The following is a 23,637-nucleotide window of genomic DNA, read 5'->3' on the forward strand; positions in this document are numbered from 1 at the left end:
CCCTAGAACTTAAAGTATAATAAAAAAATCATAAAATGTTTAGCCCTAAGGTTGCTATTAATAAATGAGAATTTACTTCTGTCATTTTGTTAATTGTTTTCGGAATGTTTTGTGTACCCTTTGTTTCTTTTTGTTTTTCTTTGCAGTTTAATGATTTTCTGTAGTGATAATGTTTAGTTCCTTTTTCTGTCTTATTTTTGTATCTGTTCTACCAGTGAATTTTACACTATTGTGTGTTTTCTTGATGGTAAATATGACATTGTCCTTTAGCTTCCAAATGTGGGACTTTCTTAAGCATTTTTTGGAGGGGTATTGATGAGTTTCCTGTTTTTGGTTTCTGGAAAATACTTTATTTCTCCTTCATTTCTGAAAGTTAGCTTTGCTGGGTATAGTATTCTTGCCTGACAATTTCTTTCTTTCAGCACTTTGAATATATTATCCCATTCTCTCCTGGCCTATAAGGTTTCTGCTGAGAAATATGCTATTATTCTGATGGGGATTCCTTTAGATATGACTTGATGCTTATCTCTTGCTGTTTTCAGAATTCTTTCTTCAACTTTTGGCAATGTAACTATAATGCATTTCAAATAGAACCTTTTTGTGTTGAATTTATTTGGAGATCTTTGAGCTTCCAGTATCTGGATGTCTATATCACTCCTAAAATTTGGGAATTTTTCAGCTATTATTTTATTAAATTACATTTCTTTCTGTTGGGACCATTCAACATACACTTTCTAGCTATTTGAAACTATATAAGTATTGTTTATTTCATACATTGGGTTCTTCAGTTTTAATATATATATATTTTTTGACAGAGTCTCACTCTGTTGCCCAGGCTGGATGCAATGGCACAATCTTGGCTTACTGCTACCTCTGCCTCCTGGGTCCCAGTTCAAGCAATTCTCCTTCCTCAGCCTCCTGAGTAGCTGGGATTACAGGCACATGCCACCATGCACAGCTAATTTTTGTATTTTTATTTTTTAATAGAGGCAGCGTTTCTCCATGTTGGCCAGGCTAGTCTTGAACTCCTGACCTCGTGATCCACCTGCCTCAGCCTCCCAAAGTGCTGGGATTACAGGTGTGAATCACCATGCCTGGCTGATATTTCTGTTTTTTTCTCTTTTTTTAATGAAATGTACCTCTGTTGAATTTTTCATTCAGATCCTGAATTGTTTTCTTGATTTTATTGTATTGTTTATCTGTATTTGTTTGCATTTCACTGAGTTTTCTGAAGATAATTATTTTGAATTTCTTTTCAAGCATTTCATGCATTTCCTTTTTTGGTATTCTGCTACTGAAGAATTACCGTTGTTTTTTGGTGCTGTTATATTTCCTTGCTTTTTCATGTTATTTTGTTTCTCTATGTTAATATCTGTGCATCTGGTGTAACCGTTGTTTTCTTCCAATTTTATACAGTATCTTTCATAGAAAAAGACTTTTTCCTATAGATGTATTCATAATGTAAGTTGGGTAGAGTGCTTTGGCTTTCATTCTGGGTGGGTGCGATAGTACAGTCTCTGTATAATTTCTTTGGCTGTCATCAACATCAGTGGTGTCTGCAAGTTCCTCAGTGGCTTAGATTGCAGTTGTCTGTGGGAAAGCTGTGCTGGATGGGGATGCCAGGTGAGATGATCCTTGGGCCCCTGGGCAGCACATGGGTGCATGATGACCTCATCGCTGGAATGGGCTGGGTTGCTGGCAGAAGTGATAGTGAACCCTCATGTGGTCTGGTCCTTTAACCCCTATTTGGTGTGGTGGTGGCAGCAGGTACCTAGGAGGAGTGCAAAGGTGTTCATGGTGGCTGGGAATGGATGTTTGAGGATTACTTATGACATTCATTAAAAGATATACTATAATTATCATTTGGAAAATTACAGAGTTCCCTTTACTCACCTCAAAGGGCCTGGTGTCATTTTTAGTTTGTAAGCCTCCTGTTAAATATTCTACACTGGGACACTGCTCATTTAAAATACCAATATTTCTAGTAGTTGATGTAGTAGTTTTGCAGAAAATAGTTTTGCATTCAGATGTTTGAATTGGGAGCTTGATTGGGTCAGTTCAAGCCCCAAATTTTCACCTCAGCTTACCTGTTCCCACTCATAGGAAGTTTTACCCCTCCAAATCCTCATTTTTCCAATTCGCCTAAATATTGGACATTTAGAACTATTAAAAACTTAAAATATGATACAGGCTACAAAAGCATTACCTTCTATAATCAAGGAAGAAAAATAAGGTTGTCCAAAGGCATACTGTAAATGCTTCTAATCCAATTTTCCACCTGATCTTTGATTGTAGCAATAAATTTTCTAAGCTAAAGGATTAACAATTTGCTTGTGTTGCAAAAACTCTTTCCTGCCAATTTGTAATTACCCTTCTCTATCATTTATCTCATAAACTATATTGCCAAATTGTAATTTCCCCTTTTTCATTATCTATTTCAAAAACCATCTCATTGATATGGGTTCTGTATCTCCCATAGTATGCTCAGTGGGACTAGTGGTCTGTTTGGATGATTGTCCTGGGCTAAACTGCAGGATCCTCATAAAGCCTTGGGGCTGTTTATCTCACTCTCCAATTTATTATCATAATGGCATTTTGTGCCTTTTTCCTCATTTATTTGCACAATAGGAAGCACAGTGGAGAGAGATGATTTCTGCAGGGGGCCTGGAAGGACAGGGGACAAGTTCAGACACAGAAGAAAGCTTTGCAGAAAATATCTGACTTCCAGCAGTTACTGGGATAGAAAACTTTTAAGTGCAAAATGTACTATTTTGGAGGTATGAGGAAATGCTACCTTTCCCAAAGCACTCCCACATCCCAGTGTGCAGCAGGATAAAGAGAGACTGAAAATGTTTCTGATATGAAATTGATACAGCATTTAAATGGAGGGAGGAGGCCTAGGCTATTAATGCAAACACAGCTAGAGGCCTGCAGATATGACACAGAATTTTTCCCACAGTTTTAATTTAAAACAACCAACCCGTCAGCAAAGCTTTCAAAGTTGGTGGAAGATATTGGCCAGTGGCAATTTAACTTACTCACCTATTTTAAGACCTCCTTTTCTTTTTCTTCTTCTTCTTCTCCTCCTCCTCCTCCTCCCCCTCCCCCTTCCCCTCCTTTGTCTCTCTCTCATCCAGGCTGGAGCGCAGTGGTGTGAACATGGCTCACCACAGCCTTGTCCTCCTGGGCTCAAGCAGTCCTCCCACCTCAGCCTCCCAAGTTGCTGGGACCACAGGTGCACACCACCATGCCCAGCTAGTTTTTAAGTTTTTTGTAGAGATGACGTTTCTCCATGTTTTCCATGTTATTACTTCTATTTCTTTGAGGAAAGTCATTGGCATTTTGGTAGAGATTGCATTCAATCAGTAGATTGCTTTGGGTAGCATGGACATTTAAAAATATTAATTCTTGCATTCCATGAATATAGAATATGTTTACATTGTTTTGCATCCTCTTCAATTGCTTTCATCAGTGTTTTACAGTTTTCATCATAGAGATGTTTCACTTCTTTGGTTAAGTTAATTTCTAGGGATTTAATTTTATTTGTGGCTATTACATGTGGGATTATTTTTACCTCTTTTTCATATTGTACTCTGTTGGCATATAGAAATGCTACTGATTTTTGTATGTTGATTTTGTGTCCTGCAACTTTATTGACTTTATTTACCAGTTCTAATAGTTTTTGGTGGAGTCTTTAGGTTTTTCCAATATATAGTCATATCATCTGCAAATAAAAATAATGAAACTTCTTCTTTTACAATTTAGATGTTAAAGAACATTTCTCTTGCCTAATTGCTCTAGTTAGGACTTCCAGTACTATGTTGAATAATAGTGGTGAAAAAGTGGGCATCCTTTTCATGTTCCAGTCTTAAAATAATGACTCTAAGTTTTTCCCCATTCAGGGTAATACTAGCTGTGTGTCTGTCATATACTTTTTTCTTTCTTCTTTTTTTTTTTTTCTCACTCTGTTGCCCAGGCTGGAATGCAGTGGCGCGACCTTGGATCACTACAACCTCCACCTCCTGGGTTGAAGTGATTCTCTTGCCTCTTGTAATCCCAAGTAACTGGGATTACAGGCATGCACCACCACACCTGGCTAATTTTTTATATTTTTAGTAGAGATGAGGTTTCACCATGTTGGCCAGGCTGATCTCAAACTCCTGACCTCAAGTGATCTGCTTGTCTTGGCATCCCAAAGTGCTGGGATTACAGACGTGAGCCACCATGCCCAGCACAACTTTTATTATGTTGAGATATGTTCCTTCTCTACCTAGTTTTTAAAGGGTTTTAATCATGAACAGATGTTAAATTTTATCAAGTGGTTTTTCAGCATCAATTGAAGTGATCATATGGTTTTTGTCCTTCATTCTGTTGCTATGACATATCACATTAATTGATTTGCATGTGTTGAACCATCCTTGCATCCCAAGGATAAGCTCACTTGGTCATGATGAATGATGTCTTTAATGTATTGTTGAATTTGGTTTGCTAGTATTTCATTGAGGATTTTTGCATTAATATTTATCAGAGACACCAGCCTGTAGATTTTTTTTTGATGTGTCTTTGTTCTTTGTATCAGGGTAACACTTGCCTCGTAGAATGAGTTTGGAAGTATTCCCTCCTCCTCTATTTTTTGTAATAGTTTGAGTAGCATTGGTATTAGTTCACCTTTAAATGTTTGGTAGAATTCAGCAGTGAAGCCATCAGGTCCCAAGCTTTTCTTTGCTGGAAGACTTTTTATTATGGCTTCAATCTTGTTACTTGTTACTGTTCAGGCTTTGGATTTCTTCATGGTTCAATCTTGGTAGGTTGTTATGTGTCTAGGAATTTACCCATTTCTTCTAAATTTTCCAATTTATTAGCATATGGTTGATGATACTAGCCACTAATGATCCTTTGAATTTCTGTAGTATCAGTTGCAATGTTTCTATTTTCATCTCTGATTTTATTTATTTGGGTCTTTTCCTTTTTTTTCTTTGTTAGTCTGGCTAATGGTTTGTCAGTTTTGTTCATCTTTTCAAAAGACTAACTTTTTGTTTCATTGACATTTTTATTGTTTTCTTCATTTCAAACTTATTTCTGCTCTGATCTTTATTACTTCTTTTTTCCTACTAATTTTGAGTTTGATGTGCTATTGCTTTTCTAATTTTTTTAAAGATGTATCATTAGGATATTTATTTGAAGTCTTTCTTCTCCTTCTTTTTTTTTTTTCTCCACAGAGTTTTGCTCTGTCACCTAGGCTGGAGTGCAGCCTAGCTCACTGCAACATCTGCCTCCCAGGCTCATGCAATTCTTCTGCCTCAGCCTCCCAAATAGCTGGGATTGTAGGCACCTGCCACGACGCCCAGCTAACTTTTGTCTCTTTAGTAGAGACAGGGTTTCGCCATGTTGTCCAGGCTGGTCTCAAACTCCTGACCTAACCTCAAGTGATCTGCCCACCCTGGCCTCCCAAAGTGCCGGGATCACTCATGTGAGCTGCCGCACCCAACCCTCTTTCTTCTTTCTGATGTAGGTACTTAGAGCTTAAACTTCCCTCTTAGTAGTTATAGCTATAAACTTCCCTCTTTCAATGTATCTGATATGTTTTGGTATGTTGTGTTTCCATTAGCATTTGTTTCAAGAAATTTTTCAATTTCTTTCTTAATTTCTTTTCTTTCTTTCTTTCTTTTTCTTTTCTTCTTTTTTTTTTTTTTTTGATAGAGTCTTTCTCTGTCACCCAGGCTGGACTGCAGTGGTGTCATCTCATCTCACTGCAACCTCCGCCTCTCGGGTTCAAGTAATTCTCCCACCTCAGCCTCCCGAGTAGCTGGATTACAGGCTCTGGCCACCATGCCTGGCTAATTTTTGTACTTTTAGTAGAGAGGGGGTTTCACGACATTGGCCAGGCTGGTCTCCAACTCCTGACCTCAGGTGATCTGCCCACCTCGGCCTCCCAAAGTGCTGAGATTACAGGCGTGAGCCACTGTGCCCGTTCTCCTTCTTAATTTCTTCATTGACCCACTGGTCATTCAGGAGCATATTGTTGAATTTCCACGTATCTGTATAGTTTTCAAAATTCCTCGTTATTAATTTCTAGTTTTATTCCATTGTGGTCAGAGAAGATGCTTGATATTATTTCATTTTTGGGGAACGTTTAAGACTTCTTTTGTGACCTAACATATGGTCTGTCCCTGAGACTACTCCATGTGTTGAGTAGAAGAATGTGTAATCTGCAGCCATTGGATGAAATGTTCTGTAAATATCTATTAGGTCCACTTGGTCTACAGTGCAGATTAAATTTGATGTTTGTTGATTTTCTGTCTAGGAGGTCTGTCCAATGCTGAAAATGGAGTGTTTAAGTCCCCAGCTATTTTGTATTGAGGTCTATCTCTCTCTTTAGCTCTAATAAAATTAGCTTTATATATCTGGGTGCTCCAGTGTTAGGTACATACATATTTATAATTGTTATATCCTCTTGCTGAATTGACCTCTTTATCATTATATGATGACCTTCTTTGTCTCTTCTTATAGTTTTTGTCAAGAAAACTATTTTGTCTGATATAAGCATAGCTACTCCTGCTCTTTTTTGGCTTCCATTGGCTTGGAATATCTTTTTCCATCCTTTTATTTTCAGCCTATGTGTATCTTAATAGGTGAAGTGTGTTTCTTTTCTTTCTTTTCTTTCTTTTTTTTTTTTTTTTTTTTAAGACGGAGTCTTGCTCTTGTCGCCCAGGCTGGAGTACAATGGCGCGATTTTGGCTCATTGCAACCTCCGCCTCCTGGGTTCAAGCGATTCTCCTGCCTCAGCCTCTGGAGTAGCTGGGATTACAGGCACCTGCGACAACGCCCAGCTAATTTTTGTATTTTTAGTAGAGACGGGGTTTCACCATGTTGGCCAGGCTGGTCTCAAACTTCTGACCTCAGGTGATCCACCCGCCTCTGCCTCCCAAAGTGCTGGGATTACAGGCAGGAGCCACCACGCACAGCCGGTGAAGTGTGTTTCTTATAGGTGATAGATCACTGGGTCTTGTTTTTTAATCTATTCAGCCACTCTGTGTCTTTTGGTTGGACAGTTTAGTCCATTTGCACTTAATGTTATTATTGATAAGTAGAGACTTTCTCTTACTATTTTGTTATGTGTTTTCTAGTTGTTTTGTGGTCTTCTCTTCCTTCTTTCCTTCCTTCTGTCTTCCTCTTAGTGAAGGTGATTTTCTCTGGTGGTATGATTTAATTTCTTGCTTCTTATAGTTTTCGTGTCTATTGTACGTTTTTCAAGATGAGGCTTGCAAATACTATCTTATAACCCATTATTTTAAACTTAAGACAACTTAAAACTGATTGCATAAACAAAAACACATTAAAAAAAAGAAAACTAATAGAAACTCTACACTTTAACTTTGTCCCCCTGCTTTTTAACGTCTTGTTTCTCTTTGTTTCATTGTACTATGTCTTGAAAAGTTGTCGTTATCATTTTTGGTTGGTTCACCATTTAGACTTTCTACTTGAGTACTCTACATGCCACAATTACAGTTTGTTTTTGCAATCAGTTATAATATTCTCTGATTTTCTATGTGCTTACTATTACCAGCGAGTTTGTACATATATATGTATTTTAATTTTTATATTAGATTTGGGGGTACACGTGAAGGTTTGTTACATAGATAAACACGTCATGAGGGTTTGTTGTAAATATTCATATAGATGATTTCTTATTGCTCATTAACATCTTTGTCTTTCAGGTTGAAGAACTCTGTTTAACATTTATTTTAGGACAAATCTAGCATTGATGAAATCCCTCAGCTTTTGTTTGTCTGGGAAGGTCTTTGTTCTTCATGCTTGAAGGATATTTTCACCAGATATACTATTCTACAATAAATTTTATTTTTTTCCTTTAGCACTTTAAATATGTCACACCACTCTCTCGGCCTGTAAGATTGCCACTGAAAAGTCTGCTGCCAGACATTTGGGAGCTCCATTTTATTTTATTTGTTTCCTTTCTCTTGCTGCTTTTAGGATCCTTTCTTTACCCTTGACTTTTGGGAGTCTGATATATTAAATACCTTGGGGGTAGTCTTTGGGTTAAATCTGCTTGGTGTTCTACAGTCTTTTAGTACTTGAGTGTTGATATCTTTCTCCAGGCTTAGGAAGTTTTCTGGTATCATCCCTTTGAATAAACTTTCCATCCCCATCTTTTTCTCTACGTCCTCTTTAAAGCCAATAATTTAAGAGTTATTGCCCTTTTAAGGCTATTTTCTAGATCTTATAGCCATGCTTCATTCTTTTTTATCCTTATTTCTTTTGTCTTCTCTGACCATGTATTTTCAAATAGCCTTTCTACATGTTCACTATTTATTTTTTCTGCTTGATCAATTCTGCTATTAAGAGACTCTGATGCATTCTTTAGTATTCCAGTTGCATTTTTCAACTCTAGAAGTTTTGCTTCTTTTTAACTATTTCAATTTGTTTGTTAAATTTATCTGATAAAATTCTGAATTTCTTTTCTGTTATCTTGAATTTCTTTGAGTTTTCTAAAAAGAGCTATTTTGAATTCTCTGTCTGAAAGGTCACATATCTCTGTTTCTCCTGGATTGATCCCTGGTGTCTTATTTAGTTCATTTAGTGAGGTCATGTTTTCCTGGATGGTCTTGATGTTTATTGGTGTCTAAGCATTGAAATGTTAGGTATTTATTGTAGTCTTCACAGTCTGGACTTGTTTGTGCCCATCCTCCTTGGGAAGGTTTTTCAGGTATTTGAAAGAACTAGGGTATTGTGGTCTAAGCCATAGCTGCGTGAGGGGGCACCTCAAGCCTAGTAAGGTTGTGGTTCTTGTAGACTTGTAGAGGTACTGCCTTGGTGGTCTTGGATAAAACCCTGAAGAATTCTCTGTATTATGAGGCAGAGACTCTTGTTCTTTACCCTTACTTTTTCCCAAACAAATGAAGTCTCTCTGTGCTGAGCTGCCTAGGGCTGCAGGTAGAGTGACATACTACCCCCCTGGCCCTCACTACTGGGACTGTGCTGGGTCAGACCTGAAGCCAGCACAGCACTAGGTCTTGCCCATGGCTTTCTGTAACCACTACCTGGGTACCACCCATGTTCACTCAAGTCCCTAGGGCTCTACCATTAGCAGGTGGTGAAGCCAGCCAGGTTGGTGTCTTTCCCTTCAGGGCAGTGAGTTCCCCACAGCCCCGGGTGGGTCCAGAGATGGTGTATGGGAGCTAGGGACTGCAGTCAAAAATCCTTGTATGTCTACCTGACGTTTTATTCTACTGTAGCTAAGCTGGCACTTAAACCACAATACAAAGTCCTTCCTGCTCTTCCCTCCCCTTTCCACAGGCAGAGGAGCCTCTCCCTGTGGCAACCACTATCACTGGGCCATGGGTGGTTTTCTACACCACCATTGGTATTCACTTAAAGTTCAAAGGATCTTCAGTCAGCTTGTGGTGAATGCTGCCAGGCTTGGACATACCCTTCAGGGCACTGGGCTTCCCTCTGGCCCAGGGAAGGTCATGAAATGCCATCCAAGAGGTTAGGCCTGGGATTGGGGACTTCACGAGCCCACTTGTTGGTCTAACCCACTCTGACTGAGCTGGTATCTAAAGTGCAAAACTAAGTCCTCTTTACTTTCCCCTCTGCTTTTCTCTAGCAAGAGGAGTCTCTCACCATAGCCACCACAGCTGGCAATGTTCTGGGTCTCACTTGAAGACACGTCTCAGAGTCTCACCCAAGGCCCATGCCATGATGCACTACCTGGGTATTGCGGCTGATTATTTAGTACCCAAAGGCTCTTTATTCACAGGTGATGAATCCTGCCAGGTGTGGATCCTTCCCTTCGAGGCAGCGGTTTACCTTTTGGCCCATGGTGTGTCTAGACGTGTCATCTATGAGTTAGGGTCTAGCATGGGGGCCTCATGACTGCCCAGTGCCATATCCTACTGTGACTGAGCTGGTATGCAAGATGCAAAACAAAGTCTTCTTTGCTCTCCTCTTCATACGCAGAGGAGTCACTTTTGTTGCTTCAAGCTGTGCTGCCTGGGGTTGGGGGAAGGATGGCACAAGCACTCCCTTAGATTCCCTGGCTAGTGTCTCCCCAGGTCATGTACCACCCTAGTCCAGTGGCTCTAAGCCCATCCCAGCCCAGCACTAGAAGTTGCCTAAGAACTGCAATCCCTGTGTCCTAGACAGACTTTCAAGTTTACCTAGAACCCCAGAGCACTTTGGCCTATGGTGGTGAGGCTTGCCAAAAAACTCAAGTTCTGACAATTGGGATGGTCCATTCCCCTCTGGCTAGGTCTGGTCCAAATGTTCCCTTCATGCATGAGTGCTGGCTGAGCCCAGCATGGCTTTGCTCTCCACTGTGACATGGCAGCACTGAGTTCAATAGAAAGACCACTAGCCACTGCACTCTCCCTCCCCCAAGTGCATATACTCTCTGTGTAGCAGGGCTGCTGCTAGGTTATGGGGAAGGGGTGGTGTCTGTGATTCAAGACTGTCTCTCCTACTCTCTTCAATGATTCTTTCAGTGATATGAATATAAAACCAGGTACTCCGATTGCTCTGATTTTTGGTTCTTGTGATGGTATGCAGTTAGTTGTTAAACTTTCCAGTATGCAGATATTTGTTAAAATGTGTTGTTCCTGTCGGGGGTTATCAATGGTACAGGCTTCTATTCCGCCATCTTGCTCTGCTCTCCAAAACACTTCGAATATTAAACACTGAAATAAATGTGAGTTATACATACATTTAAGAAAGATTAATAAAACAAATAAGGTAATTATTTACCCAATTATTCCAGTTCCGGGTTGTAGGTGGCTGGAGCCTATCCAGCGGCTCAGCACTCAAGGGAGGAATCAACCCTGGACAGGATGCCATTCTATTGCAGGGTACACATGTACACACACTCACTCACACTGGGACAATTTAGACACGCCAATTAACCTAACATGCACAACTTTGGGATATGAGAGGAAACCAGAATACCTGGAGAAAACCCATGTAGACACAGGGAGAATGTGCAAACTCAATACAGTGGCCCTACCAGTAATTGATGTTTTTTTCTCATCATTTAATGAAATGATGTTGAACAAAATGACCTTATTCGAGGACCTAGTGTACAATGCTTTTTGTCAGGCATTAATATTCATGCCATCAAAATCAAAAGCACAGGCTCAGCTAAAATTTCTCAAATGCATGGAAACAAGCACCTCAACACTGTTATCTTTTAATTTCAAATGGTTACCTGGGCTCAAAATCTGGGTGTGCAATTTTATCTGCTCTGGGCAGTGCTCAATATCGAGCATTTCTTACAACAATTAGGACTTATTCCCATTCAGATAATGTTGTCCTAGTTAACCCCTTTGTGGTTTTTGGAGATGTAGGTTTATTCTTTAAACTTTTTTTTTTTTTTTTTTTTTTTTTGAGACAGTTTCTTGCTCTGTCCCCCAGGCTGGAGTGCAGTGGCATGATTACAGCTCACTGCAGCTTTGACCTCCTGGGCTTAAGCAATCTTCCCACCCCAGCTGCCTGAGTATCAGGGACCACAGGTGTGTGCCACTGCACCCAGCTAATGCTTTTATTTTCTGTAAAGACAGGATCTCACTATGTGGTCAAGCCTGGTCTTGAACTCCTGGGCTCACACAATTTTCCTGCCTCAGCCTCCCAAAATGTTGGGATTACAGGTGTGAGATGCACCAGAAACCCTTAAACTTCTTAAAAATCCCTTAAGTCCTCTTGGTTTTACAGGAAAGTAGGAGCTTGGATTTTAGTTTGATCATAGGAAACAAGTAGATTGTTATTCATTCAACAAAAAATATTTATGATAAACATTTTTCAGGCTATCCATTTATTTAATAGGTCTTTATTACATATTTACTGCTGTCAAATGTTTTGGGGCCAGAGGTGAATTATGCTAGTTTGGAAACTAGGTGGAATATTATCATTTAAATGGATACCTTTGTATCTCAAAACAAATCCTGTAGTTTATATAATTTGGAATATTGTATGTCTGTTTTCCATGGAAATGATGAAGTTCATTGGTCATGGTACTCTTGGGTCATGGGACTCACACTCACTTTGCTCTTACCTCTTTCTTATTTTCACATGCATCCCATCGACACTCATGTCTAATCCAGAAGACTGGTAGTATATAAGATCCCAAATATTACCACTGGCTCAGAATCTGAGCCAATGAATGGAGAGACTATGTCATACTTGAAATAAACTTCTTTAACAATAAAAATTAAGAGTATAAGTTCTCTCATTTCATCTCAGTTTCATCAAATATTTCATGTTTAAAATGCTAGCAAGTGTGAAAGAGGCTATGGAATTTTGTGAGTGATAAAATATTTGTAGAGTACTTGGGGATCTGGATCTGGGTGCTATTAAAACCAACCAAACACAAGTAGCTCATATGAGTCCTTCAATTTTTATTCTTGCTTCCAACTTTTAATCTTCCAGCACTGCCAAAACATGGAACTAGGCAGATTTATAGCAATTCTGGTAGATGTTTGTTAGGAACTGATTTCGTACAACACTCTTGGCAATAAAACTATAGTTTTCTAAACTTGACATTTAGCATGTCCTTTATCTTATAAGAAGAAAAATACTTCTGTTGTTCTGTTGGAGTAGGTTAGCTTATAAAAATAAAGTGATGCATCTTTATATGTTTTTAACGTGTCCAACTTTGCCAGGCATGGTGGTTCATGCCTCTAATCCCAAGCACATTGGTAGGCCGAGGCAAGAGGATCTCTTGAGCCTAGGAGTTCAAGACTGCAGTGTGCTATGATGGCATCATTGCACTCCAGCCTCAGCGACAGAGACTCTGTCTCTTAAGTTAGTAAGTAAATAAATAAAATGTTCAACTTAAAATAAAATTACAATTTCTTTTCTAGCAGCTAGGTGAAATTTCTTAACTATTAACCTCTGGTACTTTAAACAACATTAAAACAGCCTTTAAAAGAAGACATTAATTAATTGAGGAAAGATTTTAAAATAATTTTTTCCAAGTTTTAATTTTTAAATCCCTAAAGAACCACATATTCTTGTACCATCCAGGTTTATAAAAATGCAGCTATCAAATTTGATATTAAAAACAAGATACCGCACACCCTTTGTGGAATAAAGCACAGTATAAAGAAAATTAGAATGTCATGACCATTCTTCTTCAATCTTTCCCATTTGTAATATTTCCCCCAAGCGGAAAAGCCTGACAAATTTCCCTTTCTTGCACGTGACCACTTTTTGCATCAGATGCATTTAATTTTGTAGGTTAAATATTCAGGACAAAAGGAGAGTAGAAAGAATTTTTAGAGCTTTGATTTCTATGGAAGCAATAAGCTGAAACTTGGAAATAATATGTTTCATTGCCATCAATCCCATTGTAGCTAGCTAACACTCCAGGGATTTCCTTGATTCTCTCTATAATAATCTTATACTTCTATAGTGCTTATAATTTGCAACCTGTGTTCACTTACTTTATGAGATTCTTACAAAAATCTTTTGAAAGAAGGCTAGTGTGTATGTATATGTGGGTGTATGAATATACATATATATGTGTATATGTTTGTCTATACATATACATATGTGTGTGTATGACATATATATGTATATAGTCATCCCTCATTGTCCACAGGGGATCGGTTCCAGAACCCCCTCAGACACCAAAATTTCCAGATGCTTAAGTTTTTTATATAAAATGACTAATTGGTCAATTCTTCTTGGTAAAGTTGATCTTGATCTTACCAGTTTCTTTTTTGGCTTAGTAATAGGAACAATGATTTTCATAATTTAGGGGACCAAAAGTAAAATTTCAGTTTAAGTCATTTTAGGAATAAACCATGGAGCTATAAATCTTTTGGAGGAGTTATAGATTCAGTGTTAATGCTAGAGTATTGCAGTATATTAATACAACAGATAGTTCTGAAAAGTTGCTTTAGAAAAATGTTTCAGCTAAAGTGACCCAATACCAAATTCTGTACAGTTACCCTCTATTTTGTAAATGCATATGTTAATATCAAAGTATTTATATTGTGTAATTTCCTACCTTAGGTGCTTTTGTTTTTAATATAATGCTGTTTCAAGGTCGAATATGTACAGTAATAACTGTTACAAATTGATTACGAGAGATCACAATCATTGTACAAATCACAGGCTATGTCATTGTGTAGACAAAAATCACTGACCATGCATGCCAGAGGTGGATCATAAATAGTAACTCCTAAGACTAGAAATCTACTTGATATTTTTATGGGTTCATCTTTAAAAGTGACCTCGCTGAATAAAAGTTCAATATTTCTTAAAAGAAAGGTAAATCTAAAAACCGTCCAGAATTTTCGATCCTAGTCTAGTACCACTTACTTGGGAACAAATATAGAAGCACAGGCAACCCCGTCCGTTAATTTGGCTCCGTCATTGTGCAGACAAAAATCACTGACCATGCATGCCAGAGGTGGATCATAGTTAACTCGTTAAGACTAGAAATCTACTTGATAGTGATTTTTATGGGTTCATCTTTAAAAGTGACCTCGCTGAATAAAAGTTCAATATTTCTTAAAAGAAAGGTAAATCTAGAAAGCTGTCCAGAATTTTCAATCCTAGTCTAGTACCACTTACTTGGGAACAAATATAGAAACACAGGCAACCCCGTCCGTTAATTCTGATGTTGAACGTGTGGTTAGAGAGCACACTGCGATATGTTACAGGACCTGAGATAAAAAGCAAATTTGTAAAGTGTCTAAGTGTTGATGGAGAAAAACACATCTAGCATATACGGAAATTTTCTTTTGAGTTCTCTGTAGGATGATCACCAACTCAGTAGGTGAAGCCCTGCCCTCTAGTGGTTATGGGTGTGAGAGGACTTCTGTTCAACATTATATGTCTGGCTCACCACGGTTTATTAAAACCAATCGTTCATTAAAAAGCACTTATTAGGGGTCTGGGTAAGATGCCGAGCAAGTGAAATGTTTACGTGTGAAAAGGCATTGACACTGGACAAAGGTACAGCTGCTAAAAGAAGTGCTCGTTCATTGGCTTCGACAGCTGTACGACTGGTTTCTAATTGCTGTTCCAGCCTCTCCCCAGTTCCATATACCACAAACGAATGAAAAAGATTAGCTCTCCCTGGAGCTCTCTGAGGCTGAACCTTGCTCTCTCATTACACATGGTAACTAAGCACACCCCTTAAAGAATTTTGGGAAGTCGCCCCGCGATTACCGGCTCCCCCAAGAACCAAGCAGTCAGTGCAGGGTTTTGCAAGTGAGAGTGCGAGACTCGGGAGGCTGCTCACGGTGCTCCAGTCCCTGGCAGGAGCATGGACACCTCGCCCCTTCCTTCCGTGGGCCTCAACGTTGCCTGCTGAGATTGTGACTGCCACCCCGACGGGAGCAGCTTCCCCTACAGACTTTGTAGAGAGCGCTTAAACGCCTCGGGGACAGCGGCCATGACTCTCAGCTTGGGCCGACCCCGCGGCCGCCCCACGGGAATGCGTGGCCGACACGGGGCGTGGGCGAATCTCCGACCCTCGCGTTCAGGGGGTGCATATAAACGGGCGGACACCGTCCCTGGGGTAAGGGAGGCGCCAGCAAGAACAAGGCGGGCCACCAACCCCGAGCGACCTCCTACCGGACGGATCCAAACCCAAACATTGTCCATTCCGGGCCGAAGTCTCGGCCTTCACTTCACTTCCGCCTTCCCAGCCCGTGAACACGAATGCGCCTGCGCGCACCTCTCTCAGCGGAAGTAATAGTGACAAAGCTGGGTTCGCGGCTGGCCCAGGAGTGCGGGGCGCGACTGGGCGGCCGGCGGCGGGGAGGGGCGGAGCGCAGGAGTCGGAGGCGGGAGCAGACCAGCACGGCCTCGCGGAGCCGGCCCGGCGGACCGTGACGGGTCCCCTCACCTCCTCTTCTCTCCCCTCCCCGCCCGCCCTCTCTCCCTCCCTTCCTCCCTCCCGCTCGCTTCTTCTCACGCCGGGAGCAGGCTCCCGCCTCGCACCGCTGCCCCGCGAGCAGCTCCTCTTCTCCCGAGGCGCGCGGGGCGCCCCCGCGAGCCCCGCGGCTGAGACCCCGCAGCCTGGAGGAGGGCTGTCCGGGGCTTTGGGTGGGTACCAGTATTACCTCCTGCCCCCATTTCTAGAAACTTCCAGGTTCTGAAGGAAGGGGAGGTTCGGGTATCCCCTGGATGGGGGGGCATCTCTAGGGCGCCGCCCCGCTGGCGTGAGCTGGGGACGTTGCGGGCACACGACGGGGCGGGTGCGGGATCTTGGGGAGGGGGGCTCCCGAGATAGTGGCTGGGCGGGGAACTCCTTCCTCAGCCTCTCGTCAGCGCCGCTTCTCCTGGTTTCTCTTGCAGATGCTGCTGCTAGGGGTGGTGGGAGCAGCCGTGGGACGCGTGGCCGGGAGCGGGGGTGACAGCCTGGGATTCCGGGGGCTTCTCTTCCTTGTCCTCCTCCTCTCCTCTCTATTCCCAGTGTGGCCGTGGCTGACACTAAAGACTTTGTAGCCATCAACCCGAGTGCAGTTTCGATGGAAAATGAAGGTAAAGGCCCCTGGCCGACCGGTTGCAACGCGGAGTTGAGGGTGTGGTGGTTTGCTTTTAAGTTGTCTTTGTTTTTCCACCTTTTTATTTTCGTGAGCTTATTTATTTACTGTGTATGTGAAGTGTCCAAGGATTTGCTTACTTAGGGTATCCAGCTTTTATTTTGGTAACATGGGGCATTTGAGAGATTGAGGTTCTGTGGGTGACTGAGCTTGATTCAGCTTTCTTGAGGAATTCCTGCTCTCTTCAGCTTAGGGAATGAGAGGGAAGTTTTCATTTCAGATAGCGTCTGTGCATGTTTAAATAGCTATTTGAAAGGAATTACTCGAGGGGAAGTGGAAATGGGGGACAAGGGGATGGGGCTGCATCTCTGTATATTGGCGTTTCAAGCCTCGATGTGGTGTGTGGCAGGATTCATTTATAAGAAAGCAAGCCATGTTTTATTATGTCTAGCATTGGGGAAAAAACTCATTATTTTTCAATTCACAAAAAAAACCCAGTGAATTTAATGAAATGTTATGAGATGAGTGCTTTTCTTAAAGTTCCACCCTATTTCAAAACATCATTTAGGAGGCTGACAGCGGAACCTGTTTGTTCACTGTACACTTTGGACACATTAGATCGTCATTCACATGTTACATGATCCCTTTGGCCTCGTTAAAATATTTAATGCTTTTCCTACACAGCACTGATTATTTTTAAAATTGTTGAACAACTGTGAATAAGTGATTTTTTTTCCCCCTCCTGAAACAACACTTATTCTTTGGACTGACTTCTGACTTGTGCGTGATCATTTTTTTTTCTTCTGCCTTTAACCGGGCTGCAAAATACTATAAAAGATACTTAACAAATGACAGTTTTTTCCTCTGGTATAATTTGTTTTAAAAAATATGTGTCTGGTATAAAGGAGCTGCAGTCTTGCTGGCTGCTTCTAATTTGTTTTTCCATTGTTGAGAATGTAAGCTTGATTGTCTGACTAGGACTAGTAATTTTGAAATGGGTGTTTCTTATAGATGCAGTAATGTGTTTTGCTCTCTGAGACCTCTGGGCTATGTAGGGAATATGATGAGAGGCATGATTATATTGACAAATTTTACTCTGGATGGATAATTGGCGGAAGACATTTTCTGAAATACTAAAGTGTATAACTGCAGAGGAGTTATACTGTCTAATTGGGTCTTGAGAAACATTTGAAAGCAGTGATGTTTTTGGTGATAAGGAAAGTCACTTTTCTGAGCCTTTTTCCTCTCTTTTAAGTTTATTGATTTAAGAAAGGCAAATCCATTCTGCACATGAGACAAAGAATGTTAAATGCATTCATATACTTGTTTCTTGGTAGAAACATCTTAAATAACTTCTAACATTTAATGTATGTTTATGAGCTTGTTTTCAGAATGGTACCAGATTTAAGAGGGTAGCCTAAAGTAGGTGGATTCTTTCATGTTGCTTTTGTTTCTTGATCTCTCAGGAGGAAGAGCATGAGTAATAAAGCCGATTCTCATTATCTACTGAGGTGGGAGGGGGTGGTTGTGAGATAGGAGAATGGTGCCTACTTGTGTCTGTCTCTGTATTTTGTGGCCAAATATGAATTTTGTGGTTTCATAGTAAAAGATTATACAGTTCTTAAAAACGTGTGGGGTTTTCTGTCCCGTTATTCTTGACCATCAAGAGACCATTTTTGTCAGTTTCTCCCTATCGTCACATTTTTTTTTATATATAAACAGTTTGAAGAAGAGCCTGTATATAGCCTAGAAATTTTCAAAAGTGACTGACCATATTAAACTACATAGATTGATACCTGTGCCTTTTTATTGTTCACTTGCCTTTTTGTAGTTTTCATCCTTCTTTGATATAGTGTAGTATTAACAATTTGGAGGTGTGAAACAAAAATGGATTCAAGTCTTGACTAACTTGTCTTGAACCACTTAAAGCTGTGTGATTTTAAGTAAATTACGTCACCTTTCTGAGCCTGTATTTCTTCATCTATAAATTGGGATTGATAATCTTTAACTCACAGAATTGAGAGGATTAAATGAGAAACCCTGTATAAATTCTCTTGTGAGGTAGGAATGATAACGTTTAAGAGCTTGAGTTGTGGTGGAACCATGCAGACTGATTTGAATGCTGGATTCGTCGCTTACCATTTGGCTTTGTGCATATTAAAGTTTTCTGTGCTTCCGTTTCTTCATAAAATAAAGATAATGATAGAACCTACCTTATGAGGTTGTTGTAAACATTCAAACAGTATCTGGCACATAGTAAGTGCTCGGTAAATGTTAATTATAAATTGCCTAGCTGAATGTTTGATACATACTAATAGGCCACCTGGCATTAATATTGTCATGACAGTTAAATGTTGGAAGGGGGAACAGTAGTAGCCAAATGCTCAAAATGAAGTTGTCATTGTTAGTTGAGGGATAAGTGGAGTTAGGTAAGGAATTTTCTATGGCATTAGTGCTTTTAAGCCTACAGAAAAAGTTAGGGCTCTACCAAGAAGCCAGGGTCCAGTACAGAAAGAGACAGGTTTGGATTTGAAGCCCGACAAGTAATGTTTTCCTCTCCTGAAAAATCTGACAAGTTACTAGGCTTCTAAGCTTTCTCAGCCTCTAAGTTATCTCATCTGTAAATGAGATAATGCCCTCTTGCAAAGTTGATGTGAGTAATAAATGAAGCCGCCAGAGCAATGTTTGACATACAGTTAACTTGGATGAATTGAGTGATGCTGCTGTTCCCTAGTAAGAGTATCCTCCAGTAGGTATGCAGGTAGTTACATTTGTGGGTGTGAACAGTGTAGAATTGATAGTGTTTCCCTAGAGCATCAGCATGAAGGTTTCTTAGGTAGCTTACAGTGGTGTGGGGAGGAAATGGTTTCATCCATGTGTTGGTTCCTTCAGCAATGGTGGTATTTTCTTTGGCACTTCGGTTTAGATTCTTCTGGACTTTTTTCCTAGGGCCCATTTAAACTTTCTCAGCAAAGCTTGACCAATTTTTAGCTGTAGACTCCAGGATGTTTCATGAACACTTTCTGCTTGTCACTAGGAACGTTTAAAATGTTAATTTCCTGGAATTTTTGGACTACTTAACATTCAGTCGTGAGTTAGGATTTTATCCAGATCCTTTGGAATTTGTTTTTACATGTTTATCACAAATCTAAACAGATCCCGCTTAGGCATCTTGAGATGCACAAGTAAACAGCTCTTACCTGATTTTTAAAAGTTAATTGCATGTTTAAAGTGATAGCTTACTAGAAAAGATATGTCTAGCTGGAGAAGCTTGCACATAGGTTTTCCTTTCTAGTAATGGATTTATTTTTTGGAATAAATTTGGCCTTTCCCATAGAAAATTCAGTGTGACTTTAATACACATGAAACTTTAATATAGCCTTAAATGTTTGACTAGTGGATAGAAATGTAATAGTCTTCAGGATTTCAGGACATGGTTAATTTAAGATTATAGACAGAGCTAATAGGTGTAGAGAACAATGCCCCAATCTTTTTTGTTTGAAAATGGTTGTATTTACACTTTACTTTTAAAAGCAGTTTCTTAATTCAATTTCAAATTGTTAATCAGCTAGGAATGTCTCAAGAAAAAATTGCATTACTATAGTTGGAGAAGCTATAGGGAAAAAGGGATGAGAAGCCACCTTAATTTTATTCCTTTAACTGAAAATAGGAAACCAGGTTATAAAAATATATCTTTGGGTGTGGGAAATATAGTTTATGTTGTTTGCAGTTTTGTCCATAAAATGATAGTCTTAATTAGTACTCTGAAAAAGAGTTGAAACTAAAAGAGATTATATATATGACATTTTGTAAACTGTAGTAATTTAAGCCAGAGGATGCTGTAGAGAGTACTTGTATGCAATAACCTTCTGACAGTTGGATTCCAAATACTTGATTTGTCTTCATATTTTTGTCATTCATTTAAAGTCAGCAGAATTCAGGTCTGTTAACGCAAAGCATTATGAAACAAAATAGTTTCCTAGGGAACACACCCCTAGGGGCCCAGGACTGATTTTGGAGATCTTAGTTAGCCATGATCTGTTTTGCAAGGTTAAATTTTGTTTTAAAGGTGCCAGGAACACTGTGGCTTGATGGTAAAGTTAGCATGAATTTTAAATTACACCGTTGTTACATGTAGCATCTTAAAATATCTTAAGGATCAGTTCAAGAGGTCCCCTCACATTTACTTTGTTGAAACAAATTCTTTTTAATAATGGTTTCAGGCATCAGTTGTGACAAGGTTATCTTTATGCTTTTCATGTAGACAAATGTTGGTAAAAGGCAGTAAAGGGTGCATCCTGAGGTTAATGCCATCATTTCATGAAAGAAAGGATCTCTCAAAAAAAAGGCTAAATTGATAATTTCCTCTTGGATGTATATGACTGCTACTTATATGCATTTGTTAATACAGTTGACCCTTGAACAATGTGGGGGTTGGGGTGCTGACCCACCATGCAGTTGAAAATCTGCATGTAACTTTTAACTCTCTGAAAACTAAACTACTAATAGTCTCTACTGTTGCCTGGAAGCCTCACTGATAACATAAACAGTCAATTAACACATACTTTGTATGCTATATGTATTATATACTGTATTCTTGCAATAAAGTAGAGAAAAAAACTTACCAAGAAAATTATGAGGAGGAGAAAATATATTTATAATTCATTAAGCAGAAGTGGATCACTATAAAGGTCTTCATCCTCATTGTCTTCGCTTTGAGTAGGCTGAAGAAAAGGAGGGGTTGGTCTTGCTGTCTCGGGTGACAGAAGCAAATCTGAGTATAAGTAGACCTTTACAGTTGAAACTCATGTTGTTAAAGAGTCAACTGTGTATCTTCTGTCTTCAGGCTTTAAGTTGCTACGACAAAAGTATAAATCGTAGAATTACAAATAAATTACACCAATTGTGTTAAATTAGGTTGGTTTAGACTAAACCTGTGATGTGTTTAGAAAAAGTTTGAATGAAATGTTGAAAAGCTGTCCTAGATTATAGACAGAAGACAGTAATAGTCGGGGTCAGAAGCATTATCTTAAGATGGCCGTAACTGGGTGTCTGATTCAATTTCTATCTCTGCTTTTTTTAATTCTGCTATAGGTATTAGAGAATGTGTGAATTGGAATTATTTAATATACCTGTTAGTTGTAATTGCTTTCTTAAGTAAAGGCCTTTTGGTTTGACATTTGGTCATTTCGTAAACATGCTGACCTAAACTCGTGTCCCTCCCTCAGAAGGAAATACGTTAATTTAGTATGACATCCTTTTTTTTCCCTTTGTGCTTATTTATTTATTTATTTTTTTGAGATGGAGTCTCACTCTGTAACCCAGGCTGGGCTGGGACACAGTAGCATCATTATAGCTCACCAAAGCCCCTAACTCCTGGACTAATGCGATCTCCCTGCCTTAGCCTCCTGAGTAGCTGGGATTATAAGCACACATCACTATACCCAGCTAATTTCTTAATTTTTTTAAAGACGAGGTCTTGATATATTGCCCATGCTGGTCTTGAACTCCTGGACTCAAGCAGTCTTATTGCCTTGGCCTCCCAAATTGTTGGAATTATAGGCATGAGCCACCGTGCCCAGCTTTAGTATGACATTCTTTATTCTTTTAGAAAGCTTTGAGATATTGATGCATCCTTATAGAAATTACTTTCATTTATTTATTTACTTACTTAAAACAGCTTGATAAAGTTGGAAAAAGCAGGACCCTAAATAATAAATATATTTGCCATCAGCCTTTTATAGGAAAACTCAGAAATAATAAGTGGAAATATTTAGGATGTCACTCATCAGACTTTTTTTTTGAATATGTAAATGTGTTTTTTTGAAAATTTAAACACGCAAAGTAAAAATTAAAAGTTTTGGTTAAGTTGTGAATTTCAGAAATTTATCTTGGTTATGGTGTCCTGAAGTTAAAAAGAATAGAGCATTAGTACATTAGTACATAAACGTTCTGTTATTCTCTGCCTAAGGGCAAGATCCAACTTTGAACCAGGTCCTGGATTTCCTCTCATCTTAAATCGGAGCCTTTTTCATTTGTAGTATAAATAAATTAGCCTTTTGATGCTGTGATTTTATTTGTATATGTTATATATGAGATTTATATCTCTCTTTGTATGCAGGCATTTCACTAGATTTTGTTTGGCCATCTATTTTTAGTGTTTCCCTAGCAGCATGTTTGCTTTACCTGCCTTCATCTAGGTTTCTACATCATCAGGGGTGGAAATATTAGTTGGCTTAATTAAGCTTGGGAGTTGTACCTTACTTGCTCTGTTGAGTGTCAGTTCTACCTTCTTTTGAAGCAGGCAAAAGCAGTTCATGGCACAAATGCCAGAAATAGCATGCAAACCACTTTGTAGTGGTATGCAAACTAATTTCTGCTGTGTCCTTTTCTTAATGCTTGTGAGGGTTACTGTTTACTTAAGAGTTAATATTTGGCTTATGAAACTAGTATCAGATGAGAAATTCCAGCATCCCTCCCCACCCCAGAGAAAGATGTGGTCATTGGGGACTGCTCTGAAGTCTGCCAGCCCTCTATCCTAAAAGTTGGTAGATCAGTTATTATATCTTGATATGTACCCCTAATTCATATGAGGGGCCAAGAGAGATTAGTTACTCCTGATTTCATCTGTTAGAAGATAAAGGGAGTGTGGTTTGTATCTATATTAGAGTAATGGGAATGAAGGGTAGGGATGGATGACAGAGATATTTTACTCCTAGGAAAAATCAGCAGGACTTGGACAGTGACTAGATACAGAGAATTAAGGGAATAGTTGAATCAGACATGACTGCAAGATGTCATTTGGGTCAGTGAAGGTGCCATTGATTGTGGTTGAAGGAGTGAGCCGATTTAGGGGCTGGCTGAAGGGAATATATAGGTCAGACTGTCATGATGTGAGGCTCATATAGCTATGCATGGAGAGAGGTGTTAAATCAAGCACCAGGATTCAAAGTGAGCTCTTGAAGGCAGAGACCTCAATTTGTCCTTTATTCATCTTGAACAGACTCTGGGACGTACCTACTGTCAATTGAATGAAAATGCTGGCTTCTTCCTTCTAAGTGGTTCTCATCTCAGGATTGTTTTGCCCCCGGGGGACATTTGGCAATGTTTAGAGAAATGCTGGGTT

General features: G+C 39.6%; 1 protein-coding gene and 1 long non-coding RNA gene across 22 annotated transcripts in view, besides 3 other annotated features; one reads left to right on the forward strand and one right to left on the reverse strand.

The window, feature by feature from the left end:
• Positions 1-15,655, reverse strand: part of LOC107986023 (uncharacterized) — a 142,619-nt gene extending 126,964 nt beyond the window's left edge. Inside the window, exon 1 of the long non-coding RNA XR_001740492.2 lies at positions 14,590-15,655. This is a non-coding gene — a long non-coding RNA (uncharacterized LOC107986023). The remainder of the gene's footprint in view (positions 1-14,589) is intronic.
• The window catches only part of ATP2C1 (ATPase secretory pathway Ca2+ transporting 1), a 166,118-nt gene that overhangs the window by 27,672 nt on the left and 114,809 nt on the right, over positions 1-23,637 (forward strand). For 4 of the 21 annotated variants that reach the window (NM_001001486.2, NM_001001487.2, NM_001001485.3 and 1 more), the window contains exons 1-2: positions 15,818-16,071; positions 16,324-16,509. The exons of 7 other annotated variants lie outside the window; for them this stretch is intronic. In NM_001001486.2, coding sequence (NP_001001486.1) covers positions 16,504-16,509 — 6 coding nt within the window. In that variant the 5' untranslated portion in view covers positions 15,818-16,071; positions 16,324-16,503. Of the gene's footprint in view, positions 1-15,817; positions 16,072-16,283; positions 16,510-23,637 lie in introns of those variants that run through there. 10 more of the 21 variants (NM_001378512.1, NM_001378513.1, NM_001199179.3 and 7 more) reach the window with 4 other exon arrangements.
• Positions 15,373-15,592: an enhancer, noted in NCBI's record as "active region_20525". NCBI's record gives its function as "activates an Ori minimal core promoter by ATAC-STARR-seq in GM12878 lymphoblastoid cells {active_cell/tissue: GM12878}" and the evidence as "EXISTENCE:reporter gene assay evidence [ECO:0000049][PMID:35858748]".
• Positions 15,683-16,072: a silencer, noted in NCBI's record as "silent region_14735". NCBI's record gives its function as "represses an Ori minimal core promoter by ATAC-STARR-seq in GM12878 lymphoblastoid cells {active_cell/tissue: GM12878}" and the evidence as "EXISTENCE:reporter gene assay evidence [ECO:0000049][PMID:35858748]".
• Positions 22,919-22,968: an enhancer, noted in NCBI's record as "active region_20526". NCBI's record gives its function as "activates an Ori minimal core promoter by ATAC-STARR-seq in GM12878 lymphoblastoid cells {active_cell/tissue: GM12878}" and the evidence as "EXISTENCE:reporter gene assay evidence [ECO:0000049][PMID:35858748]".

Source organism: Homo sapiens, chromosome 3 (assembly GCF_000001405.40).
Source record: "Homo sapiens chromosome 3, GRCh38.p14 Primary Assembly".
Taxonomy (NCBI): Eukaryota; Metazoa; Chordata; class Mammalia; order Primates; family Hominidae; genus Homo; species Homo sapiens.